The 12,068-nt window shown below is 49.3% G+C and overlaps 1 annotated feature.

The window, feature by feature from the left end:
* Positions 7,795–7,995: a silencer, noted in NCBI's record as "peak3390 fragment used in MPRA reporter construct". NCBI's record gives its function as "represses an SCP1 promoter by STARR-seq MPRAs in K562 erythroleukemia cells {active_cell/tissue: K562}" and the evidence as "EXISTENCE:reporter gene assay evidence [ECO:0000049][PMID:32103011]".

The raw sequence follows: 12,068 nt of genomic DNA, 5'->3' as shown, positions 1-12,068 counted from the left end.
GTCTGGGTCTCACACACTTTTGGTCCAAGTGCCAACCTGTTTGGGTTGCTCTGTGATTAGCAGATGATGACCCCAAGGTCCCATCTAGCCCACCACCTGTGTTTCGGCTTTCAAGCTCGGAATGTTTTATTTATCTTTTAAAACTGTGATAAAATATACATAACAGACAGGGCACAGTGGCTCACACCTGCAATTCCAGCACTTTGGGAGGCTGAGACGAGCGGATCATTTGAGGCCAGGAGTTCAAGACCAGCCTGGACAACACGATGAAACTCTGTTTCTACTAAAAATACAAAAATTAGCTGGGTGTGGTGGCAGGTGTCTGTAATCCCAGCTACTCGGGAGGTTGAGGCAGTAGTATCACTTGAAGCCGGGAGGCAGAGTTGCAGTGAGCTGAGATTGCGCCACTGCACTCCAGCCTGGGTGACAAAGACTCAGACTCAAAAAAAAAAGTATATATATACACACACACACATACACACACACACACACACATACACACACACATACACACACACATATATACACAGATACACACACAAACACACACACACATATATATATGTATACACATAACAGAAAATTGACCATTTTAACCATTTAAAAAAATAGATGGCGTCTCTCTTTGTCATCTAGGCTGGAGTGCAGTGGCACAATCATAGTTCACTACAGCCTCAACCTCCTGGGCCCAAGCCACCCTCCTGCCTCAGCCTCCCGAGTAGCTGGGACCACAGGTGTGCACCACCATGACTGCCTAATTCTTTTTCTTTTCATAGAGATGGGGTCTCCCTATGTTGCCTGGGCTGGCCTTTTTACATTTTATAAAATTTGGGAGAATATTAAAAGAAAAATATTTTGTGACATGTGAAAGCTCTAGGAAATTCAAATTTTGGTGTCCATAAATAAAGTTAATGGCACATGCCTGTGCCCATTTGTCACATCTCATCTTAAGGCTGCTTTGGGGACACAAAGGCAGAGTTCAGTGGTTGCAACACAGACCTTATGGCTTGCAAAGCCCGCTCTTTGCAGGAACACTTTGCCCAGCCTGCAATTCCTCCTCGTTTCACCAGCCCCCTCCAACTCTGCCGAGCCACCTTCATCTTGCCCGGGGAATCAACCCGAGCCATCTACTTTCTCCCCTGGCCCAACAGCTCATTCTCCACCCGTCAGCCAGAGGGACCTTCTGAAACATCACGGGATCGAGGGAGAGGCCTCAGGATATGGCCTCTGGGACATCACCTTCTGTCACTCCTTTCCCTCGGCCCCAGCCCAGGGGCCTATTGTCACTGTTCCTCAGACCCACTGGGTCTTTCTGGACTCACATGTGTGTGTCCACTGAACCCCCACGCTGGGCCTGCAAACTTTACTCGGGGTGGCACGTTCAGATCCCAGCTCAGATGTCACAACTGCAGAGAGGCCACCCTTGGAAGATGCTTCTCTTAGTTCAAGATTTCTGAGCCACATGTCAGTAGGGATACATGCCTCCCTCCCCACTGCACCCATCCATGACAACCAAAAATATCCCAGACATTGTGAGAACCAGGGCAGTACTCACCTTGTTTTTATAAAAGCAGCTTAATATTTAATAAATTAATTAATTTAATTAATATTAATAATTTTATTTTTTGAGACGGAGTTTTGCTCTTGTTGCCCAGGCTGGAGTGCAATAGTGCAATCTCAGCTTACTGCAACCTCCGTCTCCCCGGTTCAAGCCATTCTCTTGCCTCAGCCTCCAGAGTAGCTGGGATTACAGGCATGCGCCACCACGTCCAGCTAATTTTGTATTTTTAGTAGAGACAGGGTTTCACTACGTTGGTCAGGCTGGTTTCGATCTCCTGACCTCAAGTGATCCATCCGTCTCCACTTCCCAAAGTGCTGGGATTACAGGCATGAGCCACAGTGCCTGGCCTTGAAGATGGGTGATTTGTAAAGAAACAAAATGTATTTGTTAATTTCTGGAAGCAGGGAAGTCCAAGGTCAAGGGACAGTTCTGGTGAGAGTCTTCCTCCTGGTGGGGACTTTCTGGAGAGGAGTCTGGGCATGCTAACTTGCTATCTCAGATCTTTCTTCTTCTTTCAACTCTTTCTTTCTTAATTTTTTTTTTTCAGAGACAGAGTCTCACTATGTTGCCCAGGCTGGTCTTGAACTCCTGGGCTCAAGGGATCCACTCGCTTTGGCTTCCCAAAGTGCTGGGATTACAGGCATGAGCCACCGAGCCTGGCCCCAGTCATAACATAATCTAATCATAATCTAATCTAATCATGATTTTAAAGGTCTCACTTCTCAATGCTGCCACATTGAGGATTAAGTCTCTCTTTTCTTTCTTCCTTCCCTTCTTTCTCTTTCTTTCTTTCTCTTTCTTTTTCTTTCTTTCTCTCTGTCTTTCTCTTTCTTTCTTTCTCTCTTTCTTTCTCTTTCTTTCTCTCTTTCTTTCTTTCTGATGGAGTCTCGCTCTGTCGCCAGGCTGGAGTGCAGTGGCGCGATCTCGGCTCACTACAACCTCCGTCTCCTGGGTTCAAGCGATTTTCCTGCCTCATCCTCTGAGTAGCTAGGATTACAGGCACCTGCCACCACACCCAGCTAATTTTTGTATTTTTAGTAGAGACGGGATTTCACCACATTGGCCAGGCTGGTCTCGATCTCCTGACCTGGTGTTCTGTCCACCTTGGCCTCCCAAAGTGCTGGGATTACAGGCATGAGCCATCGTGCCCAGCATTTTTTTTTCTTTTTTTTTTGAGGCAGAGTCTCTCTCCGTTCCCCAGGCTCGAGTGCCGTGGCATGAGCCTGGCTCACTGCAATTTCTGCCTCCCGGGTTCAAGTGATTCTCCTGCCTCAGCCTCCTGAGTAGCTGGGATTATAGGCACACGCTACCATGCCCGGCTAATTTTTTGTGTTTTTTAGTAGAGATGGGGATCTCACCATGTTGCCCAGGCTGATCTCAAACTCCTGAGCTCAGATGATTTGCCTGCCTCGGCCTCCCAAAGTGCTGGGATTACAGGCATGAGTCACCGTGCCCAGCCCTCCTTGACTTTTGGAGTGGACAAACATTCAAACAGTAGCAGCGTGTAACATTGACTCATATACAAATCACATCAAATCAAATTACAAAGTCACCAACCATGAGTCATCTGGATACATGGGAAATACAGTATTGGGTGCTGTAACTTCCTATCCTCAGCACCACTGACATTCGGGGCTGGATTATTCTCTTTGTGGGGCCATCCTGCGCCCAGTAGGCTGCAGAGCAGCATCCCTGGCCTCCACCCACCAGATGCCAGTAACATCCCCTCCCCAGATTTTCTACAACAACCAAAAATGTCTCCAGACATTGCCTGGTGTCAGCAGTTAAAATTACCCCCCAGTTGACCAATCTCACTTGCCTATTTTTGATGGGAGGTAGAGGAGGGAGCAGAGGCCGGGTGCAGCACTTTGGGTGCCTGTAATCCCAGTACTTTGGGAGGCCAAGGTGGGCGGATCACCTGAGGTTAGGAGTTCAAGGCCAACCTGGCCAACATGGTGAAACCCTGTCTCTACTGAAAATACAAAAATTACCTGGATGTGGTGGTTCACGCCTGTAATCCCAGCACTTTGGGAGGCCGAGGCAGGCAATCATGAGGTCAGGAGATCAAGACCATCCTGGCTAACATGGTGAAACCCCGTGTCTACTAAACACACACACACACACACACACACACACACAAACAAAATTAGCTGGGCATAGTGGTGCGCACATGTAGTCCCAGCTACTCAGGAGGCTGAGGCAGGAGAATCACTTGAACCCGGGAAGTAGGTAGAGGTTGCAGTGAGCCAAGATTGCGCCGTTGCACTCCAGCCTGAGTGATAGAGTGAAACTCCATCTCAAAAAAAATAGTAATTAAAAAAAGTAAAAAATAAAGGCTGGGCGCGGTGGCTCACGCCTGTAATCCCAGCACTTTGGGAGGCCGAGGCGGGTGGATCACGAGGTCAGGAGATCAAGACCATCCTGGCTAACATGGTGAAACCTCGACTCTACTAAAGAATACAAAAAATTAGCCATGCATAGTGGCGGGCGCCTGTAGTCCCAGCTACTCGAGAGGCTGAGGCAGGAGAGTGGCATGAACCCGGGAGGCAGAGCTTGCAGTGAGCCAAGATTGTGCCACTGCACTCCAGCCTGGGCGACAGAGCGAGCCTCCATAAAAAAAAAAAAAAAGGAGCAGACATCCCCCTCCACACAAGAATAGACAAAACCCTGAGTGTGCCCAGGTGCAGAAGCTCACTCCTGCCATCTCACCACTTTGGCAGGCCGAGTTGGGAGGACTGCTTTAACCAAGGAGTTGGAGACCAGCCTGGGCAACATATTGAGACCCTGTCTCTATGAAAATATTAAAAATAAATTAGCCAGGTGGGCTGGGCATGATGGCTCACGCCTGTAATCCCAGCACTTTGGGAGGCCGAGGTGGGCAGATCACGAGGTCAAGAGTTTGAGACCAGCCTGGCCAACACGGTGAAACCCCGTCTCTACTAAGAATACAAAAATTAGCCAGGCGTGGTGGCAGGCGCCTGTAATCCCAGCCACTAGGGAGGCTGAGGCAGGATAATTGCTTGAGCCCGGGAGGCGGAGGTTGCAGTGAGCAGAGATCATGCCACTGCACTCCAGCCTGGGCGACAGAGCAAAGACTCTGTCTCAAAAAAATAAAATGAAATGAAATGAAATAAAAAACAAATTAGCCAGGTGTGGCAGCATGAACCTGTGTTCCCAGCTACTTGGGACGCTGAGGTGGGAGGATCACTTGAGCCCGGGAGATGGAGGCTTCAGTGAGCCATGAATCAGCACCACTGCACTCCAGCCTGGGTGACAAAGTGAGACCCTGTTTCAAAACAGAGAAACAAAGAAACCCTGATGGAGGCTGTCTCCAGGATGTCATTTCATACCCAGCATTGAACAGATTTTTCACCGCCCTCCCGTGAGGTGTGAATTACTCACCCCCGTTAGCAGATGGGTAAACTGAGGCTTGGTGAGGGAAGCCAGCCATCTGTCCCTCCGTTCTCTGCCCCCCATATTCCTGCCAAGGCTTTCCCCGAGCAGCAAAAATTACAGACCTGAGATCCCAAAATAGCTCCCAGGCAGGGACTGAACACAGAGGCCTGTGGTTCAGCCTCCAGAGAGGCAGGGATAAAATCAGAGATTCAAATCCAGTTGCCTGTAGATCGTAAACTTCAAAGAAGGCAGAGTGGTCTGTTCCCTGATGATGGGGGCATGAATGTGCTTCCCCACCGCATGGGGAAACTGCCACTAACATCTGATGGCGAAAGTCCAGATGAGCCCCTGACAGGGGACCAGTGAACCCCTGGGCTGTCCTACTGGGTGAGACAGAAAAAGGCCCCTGGAGACTTCTCCGGGAGCCCCAGAACCCTTGAAATGGCACTAAGGTGCAGCTCATTTCTAGGATGTGGCTCAGAGGCCATCTCCTCCAGGAAGTCTCTGGGAATGCATCTCATCTGCCCTCACATGGTCCCCTCTTCTGGCTCAGAAAAGGGTCTAAGCCATCCCTGGCCCTGCTGGCTCCGTGTCACCTGGCCCGATCAGACATTGGGCTTACTTGCAGATGTTTTTTTGAAAGAAAAAAGGAAAAGACATGGCAGTGAGGGAGCCCTGAGACAGAATGGAGGCTGGGGCCAGCGGGGCTCTGCAGATAAGAGATTTAAGGGAGTCATTTCTAGCTCCTCCTGCACATTGGGGTCCCTGCTCTGGGAAGATTTTAAGACATATAATCCCATCGCCTGAATCATAAGAGCACATTTGGCCGGGCGCAGTGGCTCACACCCGTAATCCCAGCACTTTGAGGGGCCGAGGCAGGAGGATTTCTTGAGGCTAGGAGTTTGAGACCAAACTGGGCAACACAGTGAGACCCCCTTTCTTTACAAAGAAATACATATTTTTTAAATTAGCAGGGCATGGTGGTGCACACCTGTAGTTCAGCTACTTGGGAGGCTGAGGCAGAAGGATCACTTGAGCCCAGGACCTGGAGACTAAGGTGAGCTATGTTTGTGTCACTGCACTCCATCCTGGGTGACACAGCAAGACTGTCTCTAAAAAAAAAAAGAGAGAGAGAGAGAGAGAGACTGGGCATGGTGGCTCCTGCCTGTAATCCCAGCACTTTGGGAGGCTGAGGTGGGTGGTCAGGAGCTTAAGACCAGCCTGGCCAACATGGTGAAACCCCGTCTCTACTAAAAATAAAAAAATTAGCCAGGCGTGGTGGCAGGCAGCTGTAATCCCAGCTACTCGGGAGACTGAGGCAGGAGAATCACTTGAACCCAGGAGGTGGAGTTTGCAGTGAGCCCAGATTGTGCCACTGCACTCCAGCCTGGGTGACAGAATGAGACTCCATCTCAAAAAAAAAAAAAAAAAAAAAAAAAGAAAGAAAGAAAGAAAGAAAGAAAGAAAAAGAAAAAGAAAAAAATAAGACTACAGTTAACATCCCCAGTAACTGGACAAGCCAATGTCAGGTGCCTCCCGATACGACGCACCAGGGAAGATCCACTATTGCTTCTGTGGATCCTGCCCCAAATTCACACCCTCTACCTGGTCACAGGGAACCATCAGGCCAGCACCCTGGGATATGTTCCACAAAACAACTGACTTCAACTCCACCAAAATGTCCATGTCGTGAAAGGCTGGGAAAGACTGCAGCATGGTTCCTGATGAAAGGTAGTGAACGAAACAGAAGCCCCAGGGGCAATGTGTGAGTCTGGATCGGATCCTAAGTGAAAAAGGAAAAAGTGGCCATAAAGGTTGTTACTGGGGAAGCTGGGGAAATTTGACTATAGTGAGCTGGGTGGCAGATGGCGGTGGTCTTCCTGAGGCCCAGCCTCAGTATCCCCATTCTGCCTACAGATGGCAGATTCAGATCTGAGAATGCTAAATTGTTGCTTTAAGCCCACCAGCTGGTCACTGGCAGGCCAGGGAGGATTTAGACCCAGAGCCTCTGTTCTTACCACTCCCCAAGTTACATGCCGTTTTTGTTTTGTTTTGTTTTCTTTTCTTTTTTTTTGAGATGGAGTATCGCTCTGTTGCCCAGGCTGGAGTGCAGTGGTACAATCTCGGCTTACTGCAACCTCTGCCTCCCAGGTTCAAGCGATTCTTCTGCCTCAGCCTCCCGAGTAGCTGGGACTACAGGCACCTGCCACGATGCCCGGCTAATTTTTGCATTTTTAGTAGAGACGGGGTTTCATCATGTTGGCCAGGCTGGTCTCAAACTCCTGACCTTGTGATCCTCCCACCTCGGCCTCCCAAAGTGCTGGGATGACAGTCATGAGCCACCGTGCCTGGCTTTTTTTTTTTTTAAGAAATTCATACAATATAAAATTACCCATTTTAAAGTCAGCAGGCTGTGCACAGTGGCTCACGCCTGTAATCCCAGCACTTTAGAATCTGCCCCGAGGCAGGCAGATCACCTGAGGTCAGGAGTTCGAGACCAGCCTGGCCAATGTGGTGAAACCCTGTCTCTACTAAAAATACAAAAAATTAGCCGGGTGTGGTGGCGGGTGCCTGTAATCTCAGCTACTCGGGAGGCTGAGGCAGGAGAATCACTTGAACCTGGGAGGCAGAGGTTGCAGTGAGCCGAGACTGCATCATTGCACTCCAGCCTAGGCGACAAGAGCAAGACTCTGTCCCAAAAAATAAAATAAAAATAAAAACAAAAATAAATAAAGTGAGTAATTCAGAGGTATTTAGTACACTCAGAATATTGTGTAACCACCACCTCTATCTAATTCCAAAATACTTTCATCCCTGCCAAAAGCAGGCCTTGTCCCCATCAGCAATCACTCCCCACTCCCCCACAGCCGGTGGCAACCATGCTTCCTCTTCTTCCTCTTTCTGTCTCTGTGGATTTGCCTGTTCTGGGCATTTCATATCAATGGAATCTCACACTACGCGGCCTTGGTGTCTGGCTTCTCTCATTTGGCGTTATGTTTTCGAGCTCATCCTCCTTGTAGAATGGATCAGTGCTTCTTTCCTTTCTATATCTGATTAAGTACATTACTTTTTTTGTTTGTTTTTGGGACAGAGTCTCACTCTGTCTCCAGGCTGGAGTGCAGTGGCAAAATCTTGGCTCACTGCAACCTCTGCCTCCCAGGTTCAAGCGATTCTCCTGCCTCAGCCTCCTGAGTAGCTGGGACTACAGGCGAGCGCCACCACGCCCGGCTGATTTTTGTATTTTTAGTAGAGGTGGGGTTTCACCCTGTTGGCAAGGATGGTCTTGACTTCTTGACCTCGTGATCCACCCACCTCTGCCTCACAAACTGCTGGGATTACAGGCGTGAGCCACCGCGCCTGGCCAAGTACATTACTTTTTAAAAATCAAGGCTTTAGGCTGGGTGCGGTGGCTCACGCCTGTAATCCTAGCACTTTGGGAGGCTGAGGCAGGAGGATGCCTTGAGGTCAGGAGTTGGAGACCAGCCTGGGCAAACACAGCAAGACCCCCATCTCGACAAAAAATAAAAAATAAAATTAGCCAAATGTGGTGGTGCATGCCTGTAGTCCCAGCTACTTAGGAGGCTGAGGTAGGAGGATCACTCAAGCCCAGGAGTTGGAGGCTGTGGTGAGCCATGATCGTGCCACTGTACTCCAGCCTAAGCAACAGAGCTCTCCCTCTGTCTCTTAAAAAAAAAAAAAAATCAGGCTGGGCATGGTGGCCCACAGTGCCTGTAATCTCAGCACTTTGGAAGGCCGAGGCGGGTGGATCACCTGAGGTCAGGAGTTCGAGACCAGCCCGACCAACATGGTGAAACCCTGTCTCTACTAAAAATACAAAAAATTAGCCAGGAGTGGTGGTGGGCGCCTGTAATCCCAGCTACTTGGGAGGCTGGGGCAGGAGAATCGCTTGAACTTGGGAGGCGGAGGTTGCAGTGAGCTGAGATTGCGCCGTTGCACTCCAGCCTGGGTGACAATAGAGAGACTCCGTCTCAAAAAAAAAAAAAAAATTAGGGCTTTGCTTATAGAAATGCAAAATGCTATATTTGGCAAACATCAAGTGATGTTTGTTTGGTTTGTTGTTGTTTTTTTTAAATCCACTCCACAAATAGCTCCAAATTGGCTCATGCTACCAAACATCACAAGTCCCAGCGCTTTGCCACAAGCCCAGGGGCCTCCTGTGAAGGAGTCCTGGGCTCGGACAGGGCCCTGTGGGAATCACGTTTTAATTAAAAAGTCATACAATGACAGGCTCCCAAGCAGCATAGGCCTGAGCCTGGCGGGGCGAGAGCCATGCTTGACATTCCAGGCTGGCCTCCTTGGAGCCCCGGCAGCCGCAGAAGTCCCCAAGCCGAGCCAGGAATAGTTCTGCCTTTTATTTGGAAAAAGAATTACAGGGCGAGTGGCCCAGCCCCGGGTTTGCTGCTTCGAAGCCGTATTTTTGAACACGACCCTAACCACACACTTGCATTGGATAGTTCGTTCCAGGCTAAATGCTGTCAGCTGCCTAAACACTCAGCTCGCAGCTCTAAACACAGGTTCTTTTTTCTTCTTGTTTGAAGGTCTATCCGTCTATTTTTGTGCAAAAACATATTTAAAATCTTGCTGGCTCAGGAGGCCCTAGCAGCTGCCAAGGCCGCCTTCTCTCTCCTCCCCCTATGTGAATCTCAATTAGACCTGCCTTGTTCTTGTGAATTTTCCTAGGTAGGGGAGTCACCTCTTGGTTCCCCAAATTTGCCCCCAGCCCATTGAGTGTGAACCTCTAGGATTGATAGCCCCGCTGGCCATGCTGAGACAGGTGGGTTCCTAGAGGCAGAATTGGGTGTTGCTACCAGGAAAAGCAAGATGCATGATGGGAAAGAAAAGGATCCAGTGGTCACAGTGGTTAAGCCAAGATTTGAACTTGGGTCCTAGTTAGTTGAAAGCCATAAGGGTTCAAAACTACTGAGCCATTGCTGGTGGGAATGTCAAATGATGCTGTCGTTGAAGCCTGGTAGGTCCTCAAAAAGTTAAACACAGGCTGGGTGCAGTGGCTCACACCTGTAATCCTAGCACTTCAGGAGGTTGAGGCAGGAGGATTGCTTGAGCTTAGGAGTTCGAGACCAGCATGGGCAACATGGTGAAACCCTGTCTCTATGAAAAGCATAAAAAAATTAGCCAGGCGAGGTGATGCACCTGTATTCCCAGCTACTTGGGAGGCTGAGGGAGTAGGATCAGCTGAACCCAGGAGGTTGAGGCCATGGTGAGCTGTGATTGAGCCACTGCACTTCAGCCTGGGCAATAGAGTGAGACCTTGTCTCAAAAAAAAAAAAAAGTTAAACACAGAATTGCCATAAATATGGCCCAGCAATTCCACTCCTAGGTATATCCCCAGAAGAGTGGAAACAGGTGTTCAAATAAATCCCTGGACATGAATATTCATAGCAGCATTATTCACAATAGCCAAAAAGTGGGAGCAATGCAGATGTCTATTAAAGGGTGAATGGACCAGCAAAACATGGCCCATCCGTGCAAGGGAATATTATTCAGCCTTAAAAAGGAATGAAGGGCCAGCATGGTGGTTCACGCCTGTCATCCCAGCAGTTTGAGAGGCTGAGGTGGGCAGATCACCTGAGGTCAGGAGTTCGAGACCAGCCTGGCCAGCATGACGAAACCCTGTCTCTACTAAAAATAAAAAAATCAGCCAGACGTGGTGGCAGCTACCTATAATCCCAGCTACTCAGGAGGCTGAGACACAAGAATCGCTTGAACCCGGAGGTGGAAGTTGCAGTGAGCCGAGATCGTGCCACTGCAATCCAGCCCGGGTGACAGAGCGAGACGTTGTCTCAAAAAAAAAAAAAAAATAGCCGGGCACGGTGGCTCACACCTGTAATCCCAGCACTTTGGGAGGCCAAGGCGGGCAGATCACAAGGTCAGGAGTTCGAGACAAGCCTGACCAACATAGTGAAACCCTGTCTCTACTAAAAATACAAAAATTAGCCCAGCATGGCGGTATGCGCCTGTAGTCCTAGCTACTGGGGAGGCTGAGGCAGGAGAATCGCTTGAACCAGTGAGGTGGAGGTTGTGGTGAGCCGAGATCGCACCACTACACTCCAGTCTCCAGTACTCCAGCCTGGGTGAGACTGGAGTGAGACTGGGCACGACTGGAGTGAGACTGGGTGAGACTCCATCTCAAAAAAAAAAAAAAAAAAAAAGAAAGGAAAGTGGGAGGTGTCTAGATCTCTCCCCAAGCAGAGAATTTATTTGAGGTTTCAGGGTGTATTTTGAAAGCTCACAAGAAATTTTCCTTCTCTTCCTGAACGTTTTCTTGTCAGCTTTGCTATAAGACCACATGCAATCTTTCCTTTTTTGTTTTTGTTTTGTTTTGAGATAGGATCTCTACACTGCCTGGGTTGGAGTGCAGCAGCCCAATCACGGCTCACTGCAGCCTCAACTTCCTAGGCTCAAACGATCCTCACATCTCAGCCTCCCAAGTAGCTGGGACTACAGGCACGCGCCACCACGCCTGGCTAATTTCTTTTTATGTTTTGTAGAGACGAGGTCTTTCTATGTTGCCCAAGCTGGTCTCAAGCTCCTGGCCTTCTAAAGTGGTGAGATTACAGATGTGATCTTGTACCACTGCACCAGGCCTTTTTTTTCTTTTTTTAAGAGATGGGGTCTCACTCTGCTGCCCAGGCCAGATTCAAGCTCTCAGGCTCAAGTGATCCTCCTGCCTCAGCCTACTGAGTAGCTGGGACTATAGGCACACACCACCACGTCCAGCTAATTTTTGTATTTTTTGTAGAGAGGGGTTTTTGCCATGTTGCACAGGCTGGTCTGGAACTCCAGAACTCAAGCGATCCTCCTGCCTGGGCCTCCCAAAGTGCTGGGATTGCAGGCATGCACCACTGCACCTGGCCTAGGCCTTTGTTTTTTAAGAGATGTGGTCTTGGCTGGGCGCGGTGGCTCACTCCTGTAATCCCAGCACTTTGGGAGGCTGAGGTGGGTGGATAATTTGAGGTCAGGAGTTCGAGACCAGCCTGACCAACATGGTGAAACCCCGTCTCTACTAAAAATACAAAAATTGCCCAGGCATGGTAGCGTATGCCTGCAATCCCAGCTACTTGGGAGGCTG

This window comes from Homo sapiens, chromosome 19, assembly GCF_000001405.40.
Source record: "Homo sapiens chromosome 19, GRCh38.p14 Primary Assembly".
NCBI classification, from domain to species: Eukaryota; Metazoa; Chordata; class Mammalia; order Primates; family Hominidae; genus Homo; species Homo sapiens.
This window is presented reverse-complemented; position numbering and strand designations above follow the sequence as displayed.